The sequence below is a fragment of the Homo sapiens genome, chromosome 5, assembly GCF_000001405.40.
Source record: "Homo sapiens chromosome 5, GRCh38.p14 Primary Assembly".
NCBI lineage: Eukaryota > Metazoa > Chordata > Mammalia > Primates > Hominidae > Homo > Homo sapiens.
The window spans coordinates 102,371,257-102,396,371 of record NC_000005.10 but is presented as its reverse complement, the minus strand read 5'-3'; the positions used below and the strand labels follow the sequence as shown (position 1 = coordinate 102,396,371).

The window sequence follows — 25,115 nt, the reverse complement described above, 5'->3', positions numbered from 1 at the left end:
AGAAATAATGCCGCATATCTACAACCATCTGATCTTTGACAAACCTGACAAAAACAAGAAATGGGGAAAGGATTCCCTATTTAATAAATGGTGCTGGGAAAACTGGCTAGCCATATGTAGAAAGCTGAAACTGGATCCCTTCCTTACACCTTATACAAAAATTAATTCAAGATAGATTAAACACTTAAATGTTAGACCTAAAACCATAAAAACCCTAGAAGAAAACCTAGGCAATACCATTCAGCACATAGGCATGGGCAAGGACTTCATGTCTAAAACACTGAAAGCAATGGCAACAAAAGCCAAAATTGACAAATGGGATCTAATTAAACTAAAGAGCTTCTGCACAGCAAAAGAAACTACCATCAGAGTGAACAGGCAACCTACAGAATGGGAGAAAATTTTTGCAATCTACTCATCTGACAAAGGGCTAATATCCAGAATCTAAAATGAACTCCAACAAATTTACAAGAAAAAAACAAACAACCCCATCAAAAAGTGGGTGAAGGATATGAACAGACATTTCTCAAAAGAAGACATTTTTACAGCCAACAGACACATGAAAAAATGCTCATCATCACTGGCCATCAGAGAAATGCAAATCAAAACCACAGTGAGATACCATCTCACACCAGTTAGAATGGTGATCATTAAAAAGTCAGGAAACAGGAGGTGCTGGAGAGAATGTGGAGAAATAGCAACACTTTTACACTGTTGGTGGGTCTGTAAACTAGTTCAACCATTGTGGAAGTCAGTGTGGCGATTCCTTAGGGATCTAGAACTAGAAATACCATTTGACCCAGCCATCCCATTACTGGGTATATACCCAAAGGATTATAAATCATGCTGCTATAAAGACACATGCACATGTATGTTTACTGTGGCACTATTCACAATAGCAAAGACTTGGAACCAACCCAAATGTTCAACAATGATAGACTGGATTAAGAAAATGTGGCACATATACACCGTGGAATACTATGCAGCCATAAAAAAGGATGAGTTCATGTCCTTTGTAGGGACATGGATGAAGTTGGAAACCATCATTCTCAGCAAACTATCACAAGGACAGAAAACCAAACACCGCATGTTCTCACTCATAGGTGGGAATTGAACAATGAGAACACATGGACACAGGAAGGGGAACATCACACACCAGGGCCTGTTGTGGGGTCGGGGGAGGTGGGAGGGATAGCATTAGGAGATATACCTAATGCTAAATGACGAGTTAATGGGTGCATCACACCAACATGACACATATATATATATGTAACTAACCTGCACGTTGTGCACATGTACCCTAAAACTTAAAGTATAATAAAAACAAATTTTTTTAAGTCTCAATAATTAAAAAAAAGTAGTGACTTATAAACAAATAGTAAGTATAGAAATAAACCCCAACTCATGTGGGAATTTAGTATGCAATGAAAGTGTAATCTTAAATAAGTGCAGCAATGATGGACTGTTGAAAAATGGTTCTGTTGTAACTTGATATATTTTTTCCCAAAATTATTTCCATTTCTACCCATCTCCTAAAGGTTACTGTCTTTTTTATACTTTCAGTGTTTCTTTATGCACATACAAGTAACTATAAATGTATATCTCTATATTTTATCCTTTCATCACAGGAGGTAGCATACTATATTCACCATTCTCTATTTTGATTTTTAATGTAACAATATATTCTTAATATCTTTTTTCATGTAAACATAGAGATCCTCTCTATTTATTTTTTACAGTTGCATAATATTGCATTGCTCAGAAGTGCAATCACTTATTCAACCAATCTATTCCTTCTCATTTAGCTTTTTCTCAGGTTTTTATTATCCATATTATTATCTATATGATATTATATTGTATACTACATATAATATGATATTGTATGTAATATGATATAGGTAACCTTACAGAAATAAATTTACCTATTTGCAGATAAACAGAGGATAGGAGTATAAGCAAGCAAATTTCTCCAGTGTGCCTTCTTTACATTGTTTTGCTTTCCAAAGCATGTAACGATATTACAAATTCAAATTCAACAAAGTTTAATCTTTAAAAGTTCAATAAAAGTCAAAGCTAAAGACATTAAATATGAAATTATTGTTAAATAAGTGATAATTAAAGGCAAGGGAATGGGATAGCATTCAATGATTTGCAACAGGTCAATGCTCATATAGAGGACAACTAGAAAGACTGGGTTAAAGGATAAAAGTCAAAAAGAGGCAAAGGACTAAAGGGATCAAAATTCCGGAGAGAGCAGAAGCTTTCAGAGGTGAACTGGGCATCTAAAACTGCCCCTGAGGTACTTGCCAAATTCTTGATGCACGCTAGATGCTGGCAATCTGCACTAGGCCCAGGTTGGGGGTCACAACTGGAAGACAAGCAAACGGGCAGTTTTCAGTGATCACATGGGGCTAAGAATGACAAAATAATTTTTCTTCTTGAGAAATTTGCTGAAATCTGAAGCAGTGAAGGGCTTCAGTATAAACAGAAAAGAATCATGATGTATCTGTATCTTTCCATCAAGAGGCTCATTTAGAAAACTAGTTCTTCAACATTTTCCCTTCTGTCTTCGTTATTTTAACATATTTATGTCTCCTTAATTGTGGTAGTCACTGTGGATTCAAATAAGAGAGTGGAGGAGCACTTTAAGGAAAAAAGTGGAATAAAAGAGGAACACAAATGACCAGGTCTCTACTCCTCTGATGCATGTTAGATGTAACAAGGTAGACAGAAAAAAAAATGTAGTTTTACTAATAAATATTGAATTGTACTATTAAAATATACTCCAAACAAAATAGAAAAACACAATGAGAAAATTACATGATAGTCTAACTTATTCTGGGGATTCGGGGAGGGTATTCCTGAAGAAATTACATTTGAACCAAACCCTGAAGGATGGAAGATAAGTATTTCACACAGTGGGAACAACAGATGCAAAAAGTCTGGAGGGAGAAGTAGCTTTGTAAGCATGTCATATTACAGAATGTAATGAGCATGGAGGGTGATGGGGGCAAAAGTTGAGAAGTGGCATGAAATAACACTGATTAGATCAGGCTGACCATTTTAAATTTTCTTTGCAATTCTAGATTTAATTCTTAGAACAATGGGAAGCCATTGAAGGATCCTAATGTGAGGCATTAGAATAATCAGAATTTCATCTTAAAATATCACTTTCGTTCTTATATGGAGAATGCACAGAAGGGATAAGGGTGGTTATTGGGAGATAAATTGTTTCATTTATTTCATGAAGCTATACGCTTGAAATTGGGCAGTGGTATTAGAGATAAAAAAAGAGATATGAAAAAAATTTTTTAATGACAGTATTGGATCTACTGATTAGGTGTGGTGAATGAGAAAAAAAGGTCATTTTGAAAATGCCTTTTTCCAAGATTTGGGCTTGAGAAGTGCGTAAACAAATGTTCCATGTTTTTTTATTTTGAAACGGGGAGCTCTAGGGGAAGAATAAATTTTGTGCAAGACAGCAACTTATATTTAGAACCGATGTCTTATAAGAAAGATATGGATTAAAAATATAAATTTAGAGGCCATATAAAAAGAGTGAAAGCTTCCTTTTACATGTTGGGAGAGTATTGACAAGTTTTTTTTTTGTTGTTTATTTCATGAAATTCTTAACTATTCTATTATAGATTAGATTTTAAAAATGTTAATGCTTTTTTGTTAAAGCACAGTAGTTTTTCATTAAAATCTTAGTTGTGTATTCGTATTTCTTAGCTATTTTTGTGCTATTCACTGAAATAATTTTGGAAAATCCTGGAAATTATTTATCTTTTCATCTTGTTTTGTATGTTAGAAAGAGGGTGGCAATCAAACTGAAGATACATAAATACTGCTTAATGATTATACTTATGAATAATGGTCAGCTATATATGTGCTTCACATAGCTCCAATATCATATGACATAAAAGAAAATTACTTATGCTAAATAAAGGAGAACACTGAATTATAATTAGGCAACATTTCCACTTTTATATCAAAAACTACACTAAAGTGTGATTCTAAAACGTGACTTTTTAAACTCTCTTTAGTGAATCTGCTCATAATGAAAGTGTAAATTATTTTTTATTTAAAAATTTAGTTATCATTTGAGAATTGGTTAATTTGTTTTTATTTTTCTAATAGTAAATATATGAGGAAGACATATATATTTTTACCAGGTTGATATGGGTAGAATTATCTCACTTTTTGCAAAATATTACAAAATACTGTGTATGTGCTGTATTTTTATAAATAGAATCATGTTGGATGAAATATTGGTCATAATATAGTTTATTGTTCGAGTTTGAAGGCAAATAAACAAAAAGTAAGTATTGAGTTTATTTAAAATGCCCATTAATAATGTAGTTCTTATTTTTTAACTTTTTAAAATGTTCAAGGATTATTTTTAATTGTATTTTTATTTATTTTCCAAACTCCTAATATGTACGGTTATACATTTTTTTCTTTTTTAAACAAATGCTTGGTTTGATCAGTAGGAAAAACAGATCTTCATTCTTTATATTTGGAAAAGTTATTTTTCATTTATTTTAGCTTTTAAATAGTGAGTGTAGTAGTCACAGGTCAAACATGAAAGAGGGGGCACCCTCAAATTAGAACAATTTGAGTAAGGTTGAATTAAGTGACTATTTAAAATGTAGGTAAGGTGTAAGGAATCCCAAATAATAGTGCATTACCTCTGGTATCCTTCCACTCCAGGCCCGAAGAGAAACAAGGGCTGGGAAGAAAAAAGGAATCCTGTAGAGAGGACTCCTTCACCCATGGAACACTGTCACCCTGGGTAACTGCTGGGAGGGAACCTTTGAATACAAATCTTGACCTCACTTTCCTCACTCATTCAGAAGTGTCCCAATCAGTAGCCAGAAGACAAGAGAGCCCATTGATATAGTCCATTTACCTCAGCCTCCCGGGGCAGAAAGCAAGGTAGAAAAATGTGGAGAGTGAATCTCACAGGGGCAAAAAGAACTCTAAAATAATGAGTGTACATGATAGAATGAAAACCGGTAAGTATAAAATCTAGTGCTAAGTCTTTCCAGCAAAGGAATGGGAGCTGGGGAAGAGGATTTGGGCCATAAAAACCTTCTTCTTTGGGAAGACTAAGGACCTTTGGAAATGGCTGGCAAGGGGCAGGATATGGAGAAATGGGGAGTTGTAGTCCTTTAACAGGCCAGCTTAAACTCTGTCAATTGGCTAAAGATTCTTAGTACAATTGATGCACCAGAAAAAAAAAATGATTAGCCTTGAATCTAGCATACATTCTTAGTGCTAATAACAATGATGTGCTGATTATATCATTGCTATTTACTTTCAGGGTTGTACCTGACAAACTGCGTTCTCTGGCCTTGGGTGTAAGCTATGTGATTTTGAGAATATTTGGTATGGATTTTTGGCAATCTCTTATTACATCAAAATGTTTTTTGATATGTATATATGTCTACATGTGTATTTAGTATTACAAATAAATAATAGTAAATGACACAAAGCGAGTGAAAGGGGGAGCTGCTTTGCAGAATTTAGGAGACAATGTAAAGAGGGAATACCTAATGCAAAGCTCATTCTAATTATCAAATTATCAAATAAAATATGCATATTATATTTGATCAGAAGAGACAACAAATTTGATTTGAAATATAGTAATCATCTCATATGAGTGGTTTGGTAGGCTCATACAAAACTCTTGTAATACTTTACATTGCTTGCGTGTTTGGGAAGTTACTAACCTAGACTAACATTTTTAAATGTTTTCATCACCAAAGACATTGAATCTAATGTTTTCAAAGATTTATTTGTTTCTAAGAACAAATAAATGTTGGGAGGTAATGTACTATTTTCTTTGAATTTCTTAAATAGCAAAAACTAGATTTCAAATGCACATTATGACCATTTTAGAACCTCTGATTTACTAAATTCTTGGATTAAAGACTGAAAGGCATATAATTTAAAAATGTAGAAAAATCTAAGTGCGGCTCTGATAGAGATCAGAGAAATTCTATAGCTAGATCTACTTGTGTGATTAAAATTAGCTTTTTAACTGGGAAAAATTAGATAATATTTTTGTTTTGGACAATGATTCACTAGGTAAGAGATTTGTAATGGAAGAGGTAGCATAGGAAACAGTCAGTCAGTACACAGGAAGTTTCCTGCATCGGAAAGGGAGCCAGTAAGGCTGATGTATTTTTGAATGGGAGAGGGTAGAATAAGATGATATTAAATATTATAGACATAAACTGTCTATAGATATTTTAGGGTTTTTCTGCCAGATAATTTTAAGCATATGATAGATATTATTTGATTTACATTTAAAAGATAACCCCGGCTAGGCACAGTGCTCATATTTGTAATCCCAGCACTTGGGGAGGCTGAGTGAGGAGGGAGGATGGCTTGAGGCCAGGAGTTGGAGACCAGCCTTGGCAATATAACAAGACTGTGTCTCTAAAAATAATAATAATAACAGTTTTTAAAAATAAAAAGTAAAAGGTAACTCTGCTGATAGAAGAAAAAATACAGGAGATAAATGTGGAGGAAAAGAAAAGGGAGGCTTTTGCTGAAGTCTAACAGTTATATTAAAGTGGATTCTAGGGTTTGTAGTACAAATAGAGAGAAAACAACATATCCAAAATATGTTTGGAGTTAATGTTACAAAGATGTATGATGGATTGAAAAAAGATGGTAAAAAATGGAAAAAATGAATAGTAGTCAATTGTTTTTTAAACTTGAGTAATTAAAAATAGTACTATCACTCACCAAGAGGAGCGAATCTAGATAATGCACATTGGCAAGAATCAAGAGTCATTTAGGCAAGAAGGTCCTGATATTTGGTCAAGAAAGATGATCCACCATCAGAGTTTTTAGTTCTGAGAATCTGAGTCTGGTGTGTTTGGGGGCAACTCTGTGTGTGTGGGGGTGGGGGGCGGGGTGTGTGACTGTTCACTCACTTTTGGCTGAAAGTATCATTGCTGCTGTGGAGATTTTTGTCTGAGACTATGTAGAGGTTTCCCTCAGGCAGCACAGCTGGTCCTCTGGATCTGAGGTCATCTGAATCTGGGGCTACTATAAACATGCCAGTGTATTTGCATTTTCAGTTATTTTTCTCAATGTCTTGATAAATAACAGATATACATTTGCAAACTCATTTTTCAGTCGTTGAAAATTTTACAATTAAAGATATTTGAAGACATACTAACTTCACAGAATCAGTATTTGGTATCTCTGTTTTAAGTACTTTCTCCTAAGTTTTTCACATAAAAGCCAATAAAAGTATTGAGATGTCGTTTAAATAGCAACATGTACAACATTCTAAACAGAAGCAAAACTACTAATTGTTTCATACCTAGAGGGATATGGATTGTTTTTGAAAACTCACATTGTTTCCAGTGATTAACAATCCTATTTATAAATAAATTATTAGCTAATTTTAAGTGATATGTTTTGAATGATGAGTCGTCATTCATATATATTATCTGTGTGTGCATTACATGTTTAAGAGAATAGTGTTTTCACAAAGAATTTACAATCATTGCATTTTTCATAGGGACTATTCCTGGACCATCAATCTTTAAAATGTCAGGAGAAACTTCTTGTATTTTACGGGATGTTAATAAATGTGGACACACAGGACGTTGTTGGATATATAACAAGACAAAAATGGCTTTCTTATTGGTAGGAATATGTAAGTGATACTTATTAAAAAACTTAGAGAAATAAAATTATTTCTAAAAGTTATGGTTGTTAATAGTAATGTAGAATTATAATTTTAAACCATGAATTAAATAAGTACTTTGATGAGTAAAGGAGGCTTAACCTGCAAAATAGAGACCACATCTCTATAAGTAAAATTTTAAAAAATAAAAAAATAGCCGAGTATGGTGTCACATACTTGTAGTCCCAGCTATTCAGAAGGCTGAGGTGGGAGGGTCTCTTGAGCCTGAAAGGTCGAGGCTACAGTGAGTCATCATTGTCCCAGCCTGGGTGACAGAGTGAGACTCTTTCAAAAACAAAAGAAAAAACAAAAAATAAAAAAATAATAAAAGGATTATCTAGTTATATAGTAAAAATTTTAGAAACTAAAGTACCATAGAATTTATGTATTTGAGTCAGTGAGTTAAATATGTAATAGTTCCCAAATAAAGAATGATAATTAGCAGAATTTTAGTTTGGGAAATAATTTTGCCCAGGTACATATACAAAAAAATTTCTTGACCTTGTAACCCTTTCTACCTCCACAGTAAAAGTTGGTTAAATTTGAAGAAAATTTTTGCACCATTAGAGAACATCAAGCCACTCTTATTTCAGTTAAATCTACACTTCATATTTTCTCTTTTGTTCAATGATATAACAGTGCCTAGAACACAATAACCTTTCAATATTTGTTGAATAAATAAGAGATATAGGGACTTGAGATGCCGTGGTGGTATGAGATGTGGTCAAAGTGTTGGGAAAGTCTAGACATGTTTTTATAACTTTGGAAAACTTATCAGATCTTCCTGAATAATAATTTATTCATCTGTTAAATGAGGATATTGTACTGCCTAATTTCTGAAGTCTTAATCAGAGTAAACGTTAAATGATTTTATTGTATATTATGTTTTGTGTGATACATACTTTAAAGTGTTTATATGTTTTATGGTTTCACTGAGTAGATTCAGTAATTCAAAAAAACCATAATGATAGACTTTAATATTTAAGAGTAACAAATATCTGTTTGATAAAAGTATAGAGCAATGCCTTCTAATTCCGAAGTCAAGTATTCAGCAAGCTTGACCTACACTGGAAACTGAGTAAAATAAAACAAAATCAAAAAAGTCAAAATGACACTTGAGAAGTCAAAATTAACTTGTTAGAGGCAATTCAACAAAAATAAGAAATGTTCTTAAGGAAGTCTTAAAACTTTGCTGAGACTTTAAATTTTTATTTTAGATACAATTGTAACATGGTTACCTGTTTTCAAACACAGTATGTACTTGACAAAGTTGGTGAACTAGAAGAGATTCCAGTAGGGAGCTATTGAAAGGAGATACGAATAATTAAAAACATAAATAATTATAGTCAAATAGAAAAGGCAAAGATAGAGAACTGCAACATTATGCATGTGTGGCAATTTAGTGTAAGCCAGTATATTTTTAAATATATTTCATTGGTTATATGACTCAAAATCACTTGGTGTTCTTATTAAAAATATACATTCTGAGGCCCTGAATTAGAATTCCAGGGATTAGAAGACATCAGCAAAATAGAGGAATAGGAGTTTTCAGCACTTCTTCCCTCACAGAAACATTTATTTGACCATCCATGTGTGAAAATACCTTCAGGAGAGCTAGAGACATTACACTGAAAGAATATAGCACATGGAAGTAGCAGAGAAATAAGAAAAGACACATTGAAGAGGGTAGGAAGTATAATTTCACATGACCTGCATCACCCTTCCCCAAAGTCTGGCAGAACAGTGCAGAGAGATACCCTCCATGTGAAGGAATGAACTCTAAGCAAGAACCTGATTGCCATTGACTCGAAACCAAGTCTGTCTCAGTAAAATACAGCTCTAGGCTGACCCTCTTAGCATCAGGCTCTAGGCAGACACCTGTGGAGGAAACTCCAGGCCTGCTGCAACTACAGGTTGAGTCCCAAAGCCCTGCACTTCAGGCTGGCACCCACAGACTATGCCCCCAATCCTGTGTTACACAAGACTGGAACCCAAAAACCTTAGTTTCAGGCCAGCACCTGCAGCCCTAGGCACTGGGCTGGGAACTTGCAGCCTGAGGCACCAGGCTGATACTCACAGACCCAACTTCCAGGCCAGCCCTTGCAAATACAAGTTCCAGACCTGTCCCCTGTATTCCCAGGCTCCAGAGTAGTCCCCATAGCCCTAGGTTCCAATGGACGTAAGGTCCAGGCTCACTCCAGTAGACCCCAATGCAGTCCTGGCCCCTGCAGACCCATGCTTTAGAACCACCTCTGCAGATGCAGAAACAAGGCCCACCCCAAAAGTGCTCAAGGCCTGCCCCAGCACCATCTCAACCCCCATGAACATAGGCTTGAGGTTGGCCCCCACAAACTCAGGGTCCAGGCCTACTCTCATGGGCTCAGTCAAAAAGTCCATCTCAGTGGACCTTGGCACCAGGCTAGCCAAGGTGAACACAGGATCCAGGCCTATCACAGTGGATCCAGGCTTTAGGCCAGCTCCTGTAGACCCATGAATCAGGCCAGCCCATCTGCTGACCCAGGCACTGGGTTAGTCAAGTATGTAAGGACTGGAATAAATGTCTACTTCTTCAAAAGTGCAGATCCAATGCCTGGGCACAAGGATTACAAATAATCAGGAAAACATGACACCACCAAAGCAACGCAATAAAACACCAGTAACTGATTCTAAAGAAATGGAGACTCACCAGGTGTGGTGTTGTGTATTTGTAATTCCAGCTACTTGAGAGGCTTGGCAGGCTGAGGCAGTAGGATCATTTGAGCCCAGGAATTCAAGGCCAGCCTAGGCAACATAGTCAGAGGCCATCTCAATTAAAAAAAAAAAAAAAAAAAGGAAAAACAGGAGAAAAATGGAGACTTGTGAACTGCCTGACACATAATTCAAATTAGTCATCTTGAAGCTCAATAAGCTACACGAGTACACAGACAGCTAAACAAAATCAGAAAAATAACAAAAATAATACACAAACAAAATGAGAATACAATAGAGATACAAGCCATAAAAAAGAAATAAATTTTAGAGCTAAATAACACAATAATTAAACTGAAAAATTTCATAGAGAACTTCAACTGCAGAGTAGATCAAACAGAAGAAAGAATCAGTGAGCTTGAAGGCAGGGCATTCAAAATTACCCAGTCAGAAGAGTGAAAATAAAAAAGAATACAAAACAGTGAAGAAAGCCTATTGGAATTACAGAACACCATGAAGCAAACCAATCTATGCATTATGAGAGTCCCAGAAGGAACAGAGAAAGATAAAGGGGTAGAAAGCTTATTTAAAGAAATAATGACAGAAAGTTTCCCAAATCTGGAGAGAGAAATGAATATCCAGATCCATGAAGCATAAGTAACACCAAATAGATAAGATGTAAGGAAGTCTTCACTGAAAACACTACAATCAAATTCACAAAAGTCAAAGGCAAGAGAGAATTTTGAAAGCAGTAAGAGAAAAGCAATTCATCACTATAGGGGAACCTCTATAAGACTAGGAGCAGAAATTTTGCAGGCCAAGAGACAGTAGAATGATATATTTAACGTGCTGAAAGAAAGAAACTGCCAGCCAAGAATACTACACCTGAGAAGTCCATCCATCAGAAAAAAGAAAAAAGACTTTTCCAGAACAATAAAAGCTGAGGGAATTCACCACCACTAGACCTGACTTACAAGAAATGCTAAAGGGAAGATCTTAAGCCATTATGCTTAGGCCTGCTCCCACACTGTGGAGTGTACTTTCATTTTTAATAAATCTCTGCTTTTTTGCTTAAAAAGAGAGAGAAATGCTAAAGGGAGGTCTTAATGTTGAATTGAAAGGTTGCTAACTAACCACATGAAAACATATGAAAGTATAAAACTCAGTGGTAAAAGTAAATACGTGGTCAAATACATAGTCAAATTTGGAATACTCTATTACTATAATAGTGATGATTAAATCATTTTTAAATGTACTATACAACTCAACAAAAGTATGAAAAAATAACTATAGCTACAGTAATATGTTAAGTAAATGTGGGATGAAGAGAAGTTAAAATCTAGAGTTTCCATATGCAATGGAAGTTAAGTGGTTATCAGCATAAAACAAATAGTTATACCTGTAAAATATTTTATGTACACCCTATGGTAACCAGAAACTGTAACAAATAAGGAGTATCTGATCAAAATATAAAAAAGTTAAAAGGATTTAGAAAAGCGTACTGCCACTACAAAAAAAAATTCAAACCACAAAGGAAGACAGCAAAGAAAAAAGAATGGAATGTAGGAAAACAACAGAGTCAGAAAACAGTCAGAGAGCAATTTAAAAATGGCAGTTGTGAGTCCTTAACTATCAATAATTACTTTAAATGTAAATAGGTTAAAATCTCTAATCAAACATTACTGACTGACTGAATCTAATGTTACACCTCAAGGGGCAAGGGAAACAAAAGAACAAACTAAGCCCAAAGTCAGCAGAATAAAAGAAATAATAAAAATCAGAGCAAATGTCAGTGAAATAGAGATTAGAAAAATAATAGAAAAAAATAACAAAATAAAGAGTTGGATTTTTGCTAAAATAAATTAAACTGGCAAGCCCTTAGCTAGACTAAGAAAAACAGAGAGAAGACTCAAATAAATAAAATTATAAATGAAAGATAACACATTGAAAGTTATGCAACAGAAATAAAAAGGATCATGAGACTATTATGAAAAATTATACATCAAATTGGATGACCTAGGTAATATGAACAAATTCCTATAAACATAAAACTTCATAAAGACATAATCATGAATAAGTAGAAAATCTGACCAGACCAATAATGAATTAAGAGTTGAATTAGCAATCAAAATCAAGAAAAGCATAGGAGTCGATGACTTCACTGATGAATTCTGCTAAACATTTAAAGATGAAATAATACTAACCTTTCTCAAACTTTTTAAAAAATTGAAGAGAAAGGAACATTTCTAAACTCATTTTATGAGACCAGAATTACCCTGATGCCAAAGTTAGATGAAAACACTCCAAAGAAGATAAAATTAAGGGCCAATATCCCTGATGAACACAAATGCTGAAATCCTCAAGAAAATACTAGCAAACTGAATTCAACAGTACATTTAAAAGGATCATATATTATGATCAAGAGGGATTTATCCCTAAGGTGCAAGGATGGCTCAACATACACAAATCAGTTAATGTGATATTCCATAATAAAATAAAGGATAAAAATAATACGATAATTTCAATAGGTGAAGGAAAAGTATTTACAAAACTTAGCATCATTTCATGATAAAAATCCTTTAAAAATTAGATATAGAGGAATGTATCTTAACACAATAAAGCAAATATATTACTTACTCAGACCTAATATCATGGTTGTGAAAAGCTGAAAGCTTTCTCTTTATGATCAGGAAAAAGACAGAGATGTCTATCTGCTCTATCCACTTCTATTCAATATGTGTGGGAAGTCCTAAACAGAACAATTAGGCAAGAAAAAGGAAACATGGCATCCTAAAATTAGAAAGCAGGAAGCAAAATAGTTTCTCTTTGCAAATGACATTATTTATGTATATAAAACACTATATATATATATATTCACACACATATACATACACTATATATAGTTTTTGGTAGAGTGTCATATATATACATGTATGTGTACACCATATATATACAATAGACTTTTCATATATATACACATATATATATCTCTCATATATATACACATATATATATCTCTCATATATATACACACACGTATATATCTCATGTATATATATGTATATACGAACACACATATATGTATGAATCTCCACCAAAAAACTGTTAAAACTAGTAAGTGATTTCAGTAAAGTTTCAGGATAAAATCGGCATTTAAAAACCAGTAGTAGTTCTACAACTAACAAGAACTATCTAAAAGAGAATCAAAAAAAATTCCCATTTATGGTAGTGTCAAAAAAGAGATAGACAGAAATAAATTTAACTGAGGAGGTAAAAGATCTGTATGTTGAAAATCATAAGAGATTGATGAAAGAAATAAAAGAGGAGACACTAATAGATGGAAATATCCTATGTTCATAGATTGGGAGAATTAAAATTGTTAACATGTTCATAGTACCCAGAGTGACCTACAGATTCCAAGCAGTACCTATCAAAATCCCAATGACATTTTTCACAGCAATAGAAAAAAAAAAAATCCTAAAATTTGCATGAAATCACAAAAGACCTTCAATGGCCAATACAATCTTTGGCAAAATGAACAAAGCTGAAAGCGTAACCCTATCTAATTTCAACATATACTACAAAGCTATAGTAACCAAAACAGCATGGTCCTGGCATAAAACAGACATAGGCCATTGAAATGGAATAGAGAACAAAGAAATAAACTATGCATTTATAGACAATTGATCTTTAACATGTGCCAAGAACACACAATGGGACAGTCTTTTCAATAAATGGCACAGAGAAAACAGGATAGCCATATGCAGAATAATGAAATTGAACTCATGCTATATACAAAAATCAATTCAAAATGAATTAAAGCCTTAAATGTAATATATGTAACTGTAAAAAGCATAGGCAACAAAAGCAAAAATAGACAATAGGATTACATTAAACAAACAAAAAAGCTACTTTTTGCACAGCAATGGAAACAGTCAACAGAGTAAAGAGATAACCTATGGAATAAGAGAAATATTTGCAACCCATATATCTGATAAGGGGCTAATATTCAAAATATATAAGGAACTCAAACACTTATTAGTAAGTAAAGAAATAACCTGATTAAAAAATGAACAAAGGACATGAAAGGATATTTCTTAAAAGATGACATAAAAATGGCCAACAATTATATTTCTGAATGCCTAAATCACTAATCATCAGGAAAATGCAAGTGAAAATTGCAATGAGATATCACCTCACATCTGTTAGAATGTGTATTACCAAAAAAAAAAAAAAAAGATAAATATTGGTGAGGATGTGGAAAAAAGGGAACCCTGCAAACTGCTGATGGGAATGCAAATTAGTACAGCCATTACTGAAAACAAGTTCTCAAAAAATTAGAAATAGAACTACCACATGATCCAGCAATCTCACTACTGGGTGTATATCCAAAGGTAATGAAATCAATATGTTTAAGAGATATCTGCATTCCCTTGTTTACTGCAGCATTATTCACAATAGTCAAGGTATGGAAATAACCTAGGTGCTCATTGACAGATAAATAGACAATGGAAATATGAGAGACATACATACAATGGAATACTATTCATCCTTAAAAAGGAAGAAAATTCTGTCTTTTGCAACAATGTGGGTGAAACTACAGGACATCATGTTAAGCAAAATAAGCTAGGCATAGAAAAACAAATACAGCATGCTCTCACTTATACATGGAATCTAAAAAAATCAAACAGAAGCAGAGAATAGAATAGTTGTTGACAGGGGCTGGTGATGGAAATGGGAAATGAGAGATATTGGTCAAAGGATATAAAATTTTAGTTAGACAGAAGTAATAAATTCTTGACATCTATTGTTCAATGTGGTGACTTTAGTTAATGTATTGTATACTTGAAAATTGCCAAGGGAATAGAACTTAAGTATTCTCACCCCCAAAAAAATAACCGAATAATGTGATAAATATATTAAATACATTGATTTAATCATTTTAAAGTGTATAGTCATCAAAAACTAATGCTTTATACTATAAATATATACCCTTTTTATTTATTTGTCAATTAAACCATTATAAAGCTTAGGGAGAAAAGAATTCCATGGACTGGTGGTTGGCATGCTTACTCTAAATAAAGTACTCAGGTGATTTCAACCATAGTAAACTGCTGAAGATAGCTCTTAATACGTTAGAGGAGCTAGAGTTGTACTGTCCAATATGAAGGACATTTGCCACATGTGGCTATTTAAATTTACATTTACATTAACTGAAATTCAATTCAATTACAAATTTAGTTCCTTAGTCACAGTAGGCAAATTTTACATCTTTAATGATCACATTTGGCTAGTGGCTACTTTATTGAATAGTGCAGATGTAGAAGACTGCCTTCATTGCTAAAGGTTTTATGCCTAGCACTACTCTAGAGCATGGGTTACTCAACAGTGATCTGTGAAATCTTAAGTGCTAAGAATGAACTCCAGTATATTTGAAATGGAAAATTTGGCACACATATTTTTATGTTCAATTTTTTCCTCCTGGGGAAAAGGCTGTGACATTCATCAGATTCTCAAAATATTAATAAAAATTAGTTGCATTAGTTCTTTTTGTTGGCAAGGAAGTCTATCTGATCTTTCTTTTTCAAATCTTAAGTTTTAATTAGGATGACTCATCTAATGCTTTTACCTCAAATGAAGGATTCCATCAGCTCTAGTTCATTTGCAGTAGAGTAGATAAGCCTTTTGCAAACATTTTGTTTCTTAGTTTGCCATTTTTACCACTTCACATGGTTTCTTTGGTAGAATTTTTATTGAAATATAATATATACATATATAAGAAAGAGCACATATAAATATATGGCTCAACACTTTTTTTATAAATTGAACACACCTGTAATTAGCACCCATATCAGGGAACACAATGTATTAGAATTAATAAATGAATTCAGCAAAGTTGCTAAATATATAATCATTGTACCAAATCAATTTTGTTTCCAAATACCAGATGCAACCAAATTAAAATACAATATGATAAATACAATAACACCAAAAAATCAAATAGCAATAAAAAATTTAAGTTGTACAAAACGTCTACACTGACAACTACAAAATCAATTTGAGAAAAATTAAATAAAATCTAAATAAATGGGAAAAAGTTCACAGATAAGAACATTAATAAATGCCATTTATCCTAAATTAATCTACAGCATGTGATCACAAATTAATCCCAAGAGAAATTTTTTTTTTTTTTTTTGAAATTGACAAAATAACTAAAATTCATATGGAAAGCTAAAGGGTAAGAATTACTATGAGAATATTGAAGTTGAAACAAAATTGAGGAATATATGCTAACATATAAAAACCTATTATAGAGCTATAATAATTAATACAATGTGGTATTGGTGCAAGCATCAACACATTGATTAATGGAACAGAATAGAAAAATCAGAAACAAACCTTCATATGCACACTCAACTAATTTACGATGAAGGGGACCCTGCAATGGTTAAACAAACAAAAAGGTTATTGGCCATTTTATGCATGTCTAATAAAATGTGTTTTGATCCCTATCTCACATCTTATACAAACATCAGTTCCAGACGCATTACATATCTAAATATGAAAGATAAAACCATAAAGCCTTTTGAGAAAAATGGGAGAATATTTTCATGACCTTGGAGTAGGAAGAACATAAACAGGACACATGAAGCACTACCTAGAAAATAAATCAGACTGTAGTAAAATTAACAAATTATTACCAAAAAAATTAAGATAAAAGATAACAATGTGGAATACAGTGAACCAAAGTGAAAAAGAACTAATTATCAGAATAAATAAAGCACTCCCACAAATCAATAAATAAAGGATAACCTTACAAAAAAGTGGATAAAAGACTTGAAAAAATTCTTCACAAAAGTAGATATCAAATACCCAAAAACAATTGAAGGACTGGGTGCAGTTGCTCATGCCTGTAATCTCAGCACTTTGGGAGGCCGAGGTGGGCAGATTGCCTGAGGTCATGTGTTCGAGACCATCCTGGCTAACATGGTGAAACCCCATCTCTACTAAAAACACAAAAATTAGCTAGGCGTAGTGGCGGGCACCTGTAACCCCAGCTAAATGGAGGTTGAGGCAGGAGAATCTCTTGAACCCAGGAGGCAGAGGTTGCAGTGAGCCAAGGTCATGCCACTGCACTCCCGCCTGGGTGACAAGCGTGAAACTCTGTCTCAAAAAAAACCACAAACAAACAAACAAAAACAACAATAGAATGGATAATATATTGTGGTAAATTCAACAATGGCATTTTGTACAACAATGAAAATGAAAAGAACACAACTACATAAAATATGGATGAATCACACAAACATTATGTTGAATGAAAGAAACCAGACACAAATGAGTATGTAGGCCCTATATAATTCCACTTACATAATTTTGGTTTGCTATATAAATATATTCAAGAGCAAACAAAACTAACTTTTATCAGTTAGTGACCCTGAGGAATCATAAGTAGGGTTGCCAGGGTGCTAACAATATTTCATTCATGATTCAAGTGATGGTCACACTGTTTGGTTTGTAAAAAATATATCAAATGGCCAGGCATGGTGGCTTATGACTGTAATCCCAGCACTTTGGGAAGCCTGAGTTGGGCAGATAGCTTGAGCTCAAGAGTTTAAGACCTATGAGTGAGAACATGCAGTGTTTGGTTTTTTGTCCTTGTGATAGATTGCTGAGAATGATGGTTTCCAGCTTCATCCATGTCCCTACAAAGGACATGAACTAATCATTTTTTATGGCTGCATAGTATTCCATGGTGTATATGTGCCACATTTTCTTATGTACCCTAAAACTTAAAGTATAATTTAAAAAAAAAGAAAATTACTTTGCAAATCACTATGAGCCAGGGCAAGATAATTATTCTAATTTCTACAAAATTCCATTTGGTACACTTATATATTGTATAATAAAAATTAATACCTTGTTTATTAAAAGAAAATAAATATTAAAATTTGAAATTATATAAATATTCAATAAGCAGAAAATTACTTATACATTAAATTTATATGCTAGAGTTTACCAGTTAATAAATTGCCAAACTATTTTGTTCTTTATTAAAAAAAAAAAAAAGAGTTTAAGACCAGCCTGGGCAATATGGCAAAACCCTGTCTGTACAAAAAATATGCAAAAATTAGCTGGATGTGGTGGCTCACACCTATAGTCCCAGATACTCGGGAAGCTGAGGTAAGAGACTCACTTGAGCCTGGGAGGTGGAGATTGCGGTGAGATGAGATTGTGCCCCTGCACTCCAGCCTGGGTGACAGAGTGAGATTGTTTCTATATCTATCTATATCTATATATATGTCTATGTCTATATCTATAGATATATATATATATCAAACAATACTCTTTTTATTAAAAAAAACTGAGGTGTAATTAATAAAATTAACATAGATTTTAGAAGTTCAACTTGATGGCTTTTGATAATTGAGTACCCTTGTGGAAACACCCAAAACCAAATATGGAAATTTTTCCCATAACCTTTTCCAGTCATTTTCCCTCCTTTTCAGATAGACTCCTTTCAGATTTTTAAAAAATATTTTAGTTTTATTTGGTCTAGAAATTTATATAAGTAGAAGACTGTACTCTTCTACGTGTGTATCTTGCTTAATTTTATGCTCTTGGAAGATTCATTAATGTTCTTTCTACAGCATTAGCTTGTGCTTTATAGAAATTGCTGAGTACTAAGTACTATTTCAATTTGTGAATATGCTACAGTTTATCCTTTCTCTTATTAATTAACAATACTTGGAGTGTTTACAGTGTTTGGTTATTATAAATGAGGCTTCTGTGTATATATATTTTTGAGACAATGTCTTGCTCTGTCACCCAGGCTGGAGTGAAGTGGAGAGATCATGGGTCATTGTAACCTCGAACTCATGTCCTCAAGTAATCCTCCTGCCTCAGTCTCCAGAGCAGCTAGAATTACAGGTCCATGCCACCATGCCCGGCTAATTTATTTACTTTTAATACAGAGGAAGTCTCACTGTGTTGCCCAGGCTGATCTTGAACTCCTGGCCTCAAGTGATCCTCCTGCCTCGCCTCCCAAGGTTTTGGAATTACAGGTGCTAGCCACTGTGCCCAGCTCACATTTTTGTACAAATGTTTTCATAGTCATATGTTTTTGTTTTATTGGGTAAATCCCCAAAAGTGGAATTGGTGGGTCACAGAAGTTGAAATTCATTGAAACGTCTCTTATGACCTATCAGATGCTCTATCTCATGAATTATTCATGTACACCTAGAAATGCATATTTTGCAGTTATTTGGTATTGTCTTTTGATAATATCAATTAGCTCATTTTGTATTATTCAGATCATGTTCAGATTGTATCATTGTATTTGTGTTCTATTATTGACTTGAGGGATGCTAAAATTTGTAGGTTGGTTAATACATCCATTTCTATTTTTAATTTTTCCATTTTTTTCTTTAGATATTTTGAAGCCCTATTGTTTGGCACACACACATAGGATTTTTATGTCTTTTTGATGAATTGTTATTTTTATTATTACTTAATGCCCATTTCTCCCCCTCCATTGGTGATCTTTTTCTTAAAATCTATCTTGTCTTTAATATTAATATGATGTATGTGTATGTGTACGTGTACATATATTCTTTTAGGTTCATCTAAATATGTGCCCTTTCTGCAGATCTGCAATATTCTCTCTAGTATAGGCACCTGAAGAACATCTTTTTTAGCATTTCTTTTATACAGGAGATGAATTATTTTACATTTTTGTTTAATGAGACTGTATTTTGGCTATGTTTATTTTTGAAAGATATTTTTGCTTAATATAGAATCCTGTAACTCTCGGAATTTTAAAGGCATTACATCACTTTCTGGTCTCCATTGTTTCTGGCGAGAAGTTAGCTGTCATTAGTGATGTTGCTTTCCAACATGTAATATGTCTTTTTATTTGGATTTTATTCAAGATTTTCTCTTTGATTTTGTCTGACTCTTGTTAAATTGACTACAATGTGCCTAAGTATGGTTTTCTGTGTATCATTGCTTTTTTTCCCTCTTTTGTGTATGCTGAGCTCCTTGGATCCATGGGTTGATGTCTTCTACATTTTTGGAAAGTATTTGGACATCACCATTCAAAATATTTATTTTATCTCATTTTTCCTACTCTCTCCTTCTGGGGCTCTATTTAATATATGTGTGATCACTTGATACTATTTCATGTATCTTGGACGCTCTGTTATCTTTGCTTTTTTAATTTCTAGTTATTTTACGAAGTTCATTTTGTAGTTTGTATTTCTATACTGAAAATTTCTCATTTCTTCATGCACCCTGTCGGCCTTTTCTGGTAGATAAATAAACATAAATATGTTTCACCATAACTATTATTATTTTAAAGTTTCCACCTGTTGATTCCAACTGCTAGAAACTCTCTGAGTTTTTATTGACTGCTTTCACTTTTAATGGGAAATAGTATTTCCTGGCTTTTTCATATGTCTTGCAACATATGATTGCATTCCAGACCTTTTGTGTAATAGAATAATACAGACTGAAATAAATATGTGCCTTCAGAAACAGACATTTTCCTTCTTCTGTTATTCTACCTAAGTGGAGGGTAAGTTAATTAAATTTCTGACTCAACTGGTGGCTAGTTTGCAGCTTTAGTTTGAGTTGGTTCCCTACTGGCTTCAAATTTTCGAGGGGTAAGTGACTAGAACTTTGTCTTATAGTAGTGCTTTAGAATGGCAAAATTGTGTAGACCTGCCTGTGCTTCACAACTAGGCTACATATCTTTGAGTGTCCTGACCCTCTTGGCTTTTGATATCCAGCATATGTCTTGCTATTTGTTTGAAAGCTTTGCTGTCTTCAACTTTGTCACTTCAGCCCTGTTAGACCAAATGAATCTTTGTTCTTCAGCAGCATCTTTTGCCAGAGTAAAGGTTTGTATTTTAGCCCCTTGCCCCCATCCAATATAGAAAATAACCACAGAGAAAAAGCTGTTGCAAAAGTCGGATCACCTCCACTTAAGTTCTGCCCTGCCTTGGATATTAATCTATCTCTTTCTCATTTCTTCATCAGCTCTATCAAGTCTTTAAACAGAAGATTTTAATCTAGCTTTTCCTATCATTTTCAGATAATTTGCCTGCTGCAATAATTCCCTTTTTCTTGGAAGCATTACTGGCTTGTTGTTCAAAATTGCTCAATTTTTCTTCACAAGCTATACCCTAAAGAGAATAATTTACTATAATTATTTACTGTGTTATTTACTATGTTACAATTGTTTAATGTTACAACTATGTCAGATATAACTACCATTTAAAAATGGTATTTTTCCCTGTAAAATGTATAAAATGTTATTGTATCATTATAAATGGCATAGAATCATTAATGTTTCCTTTTTATCTTGAAACCATTATGTCAGATAATTGATATTGTGACTGTAAAATATTTTACACTTAGAGAGGCCAAGGCGAGATGATCACTTGAGGCCAGGAGTTCAAGACCAGCCTGGGCAAACTAGCAAGATCCCATTTCTAAAAAATTAGCCAGGTGTGGTGTCACCACCTGTAGTCCCAGCTACTCAGGAGGCTGAGGCCAGAGAATCACTTGAGCCCAGCAGTTCAGGTTGCAGTAAGCTATGTTAGGGGTACCCCTGCCTGAGCAATAAAGGGAGGTCCTGTTTCAAGAAAAAGAAAAATAGGCCAAGCATGGTGGTGGCTCCTGTCTGTAATCCCAGTACTTTGGGATTTGAAGGCAAGGAGATCGCCTGAGCTCACAAGTTTGAGAGAGCAACATGGCAAAACCCCGTCTCTACAAAAACTATAAAAATTAGACAGGTGTGGTGGCACATGCTGAAGTGGGAGGATCGCTTGAGCCGGGAAGGTCAAGGCTGCAGTAAGCCAAGATCGTGCCACTGCACTCCAGCCTGGGTGACAGAGTGAGACCCTGTCTCAAAAGAAAAAAAAAAAAGAATTAATTTAAAAAAATTGAAAAAGAATTAATTAAATATTGCATCCAATATTCAAGTACATTTGTATAATGCTTGTAATGTTGTAATGTATTAACTTTCTGCAGCTTGAAACATGAAAATGAAAAAACCTGCAAAATTAATGAACTTTTCTGTAATATTTGTTTTATTTGAAAAATGATGAATATTTCAAAAAGAGCAAAGCTGCATGAAATGACTTAGCTCTGGTTCCTATTGATAGCTAAGTTTTGAAAGTCAGAATTTATATTTCATGTTTCAGAATTAACACAGTCTATGAGGTAATAGCACACCTTGCACTTGGGAAGGGGGTAATATGTCTAAGAAATCTAAAACATATTATAAACATTTAAAAATCTCCTTTAAGTAACTTAATATAATTTTATGGCATTAATTGCATTCTAAAATTGGGAAATTTATACCTTTATAGGTGAAATATGCTTACCTTTCTTTGGTAAATAGCATTTTTGCCTACATTTTTGTTCTAAATACATGGACATATCTGATCATTGCATTTTTTAAATTTAGGTTTTCTTTGCAAACTATGCACTATCATCTTCACTACTATTGCATTTTTCATATACAAACGTCGTCTAAATGAGAACACTGACTTCCCAGATGTAACTGTGAAGAATCCAAAAGTTAAGAAAAAAGAAGAAACTGACTTGTAACTGGATCATCATTGTGTAAGAATTACACATTGTCAATCTATCAATGAAATATTAATATTAATAAAATTTAAAGTAATAATAATGTAATTACATGTTTAACAAATGTGCTTCATATAATTCTATATATTTTATTATATTTTGAGTGCAAATATAATAATATAGTCTGTGTTTAAAATTTTTAAAAATATAAAATACACATTTAATACTTTCAATGAAAGATAATACTTTGATTGAAAGAGATTGAGTGAAAATAGGAAAATACACCTAGGTTAATTTTAACTGACGTGATAGCCCATTAGTTGTTGGCCTTTGCTATTTGGAATTAATTAGGTTCCCTTTTTAGCTTATTCTTAGTACTTTTGATTTGGGCAGTAGATATTTATTTCTCCATTTTTCTAAATAAAAGTATATTTGCCACTTAAGTTCATATAATTAAAGTTGAAATTAAAGTTATATTTATTTTCCAAAAAGGACTATTTTAAACCTTTTAAAAATTAACATTTTATTTATCTATGATTTGACATACAGAGGTTTCCTCAGAAAATTTCTTTGGTTAATTGACCAGTTTATAATAAATATTTTGATGTTTCGTTAATCTTAGTAAACATAAAATTCAATATACTCATATACTTCTACCTGTTTTTTGTTACCTTTTTCCTTTTTTTTTTTACCTTCACTTGGATTTTATTGATAAAGACTAGCTGATAATCTGAGTTGAAACCCACTTTTCTGCTTGCTTTTACACTTCATTTTATAATTAATCGTAATTATTTAATGTGAAGAAATATTTAAATGTAGAAAATGTGTCAACTATTTATAGATTTTTTAAGCTAAAATGCATTTGTATAGAGATTTTGTTATAATTTTTTATACATTATTGTACATCAATCGAAATTAGATTTTCCAAATATTGTATAAAAATCAGATTGTTGTGGAACAAGGTTCTCTACAATGTTTCTTTGTTTTCTTGGGAGAAGTGATAATAGCTGACAAAATTTCTCCTCTGTTATTAACATTAGTCAATGACCCTATGTGGATGGGTAGACATTGCCCTATTCATGGTCGTGGCTAGCAGAAGAAAATGTGAAGCAGGGAATATTCATATCTTACTACACATTTTTATTTCCTGTTGTATATTTTATTTCAACATGCATTTTAAAAACCTATAAACTAGTCTTCATGTAAAACTCTACTTGATTGCTTGACTCTTCTCTGTTTGAACCAGCAGGATTGCAGATCATTTGAGGATCAGAGTGTGAAAACGAGTTTCTCTTTTACAGATTCTCCAAGATTTGTTTCTGTGCCCAACTTTCAGAAGAGGAAAATCACACATTATGTTTACATAAGTAGCAAAAATATATTTATGGTGATCTGCATTTTCATAATAAAGTGTCCTATTGTGAAACATTTCTGATAATGTTTTTAATGTATGTAGAATTTTTAGGATTTACTGGGAGAATTAAAGTTTAATAATTTTAGATTATTTACATTTCTTCTTAATATTCTGCTGTCTAGAAATATTAAAAATTATACAACTAGGAAATAAAGTAAAATAATAACATTCAAAGCCACTTTGAACATGCTTGTACAGTGTGTTTGTGGGGTGTTTGTGTGTGTGTGTGTGTGTGTATAGATACATATTACCTGTTTATGTTTCTCTTGCTTTCTTTTTTTTCAGAAAATAAATCAGTGAAGGTATAATAAAAATTATGGATTGGGAAGTACTGTTGAAACTTTAAATTTAAATATAGATTTTTGCTATTACAGAGTACGTGTTTCTGTATCACAAACTAATTCATGGAGGATTGATAAACAGGGAAGTAATGTAAATATAACTCAGAAGTTCTATTGGTTAATTCCAATTTAATACCTCTTTAAGTAATCAGGGGAAGTTTTTCACTATTATAGAGAAGATCTTAGCAATAAATTAAATCTTAAAAAATGCTAAAAATCCCACAGAAGTGCCTTCCTTTGGAGTCAATTTTGAATGAGTTAATGCCATCAAGGTTCATTATACTTTTGAGAGTATTAATGTACCTAAGGATACTGTAAGTGCAGGTGAAGAAGCTGCAAAGATACTTCTAAATATTGGAAT

The 25,115-nt window shown here is 33.1% G+C and overlaps 1 protein-coding gene across 9 annotated transcripts in view; it reads left to right on the top strand.

Annotated features, from left to right (window-relative positions):
- Positions 1 to 24,598, top strand: part of SLCO6A1 (solute carrier organic anion transporter family member 6A1) — a 127,228-nt gene extending 102,630 nt beyond the window's left edge. For 5 of the 9 annotated variants that reach the window (XM_011543148.3, XM_011543147.3, NM_001289004.2 and 2 more), the window contains 4 exons: positions 5,327 to 5,391; positions 7,547 to 7,684; positions 22,878 to 23,035; positions 24,249 to 24,598. In XM_011543148.3, the coding sequence (XP_011541450.1) occupies positions 5,327 to 5,391; positions 7,547 to 7,684; positions 22,878 to 23,020 (346 nt within the window). In that variant the 3' untranslated portion in view covers positions 23,021 to 23,035; positions 24,249 to 24,598. Of the gene's footprint in view, positions 1 to 5,326; positions 5,392 to 7,546; positions 7,685 to 22,877; positions 23,036 to 24,245 lie in introns of all 9 variants that reach the window. The other 4 variants (NM_001308014.2, XM_047416703.1, NM_001289002.2 and 1 more) reach the window with 2 other exon arrangements.
- Positions 24,599 to 25,115: the final 517 nt, after the last annotated feature.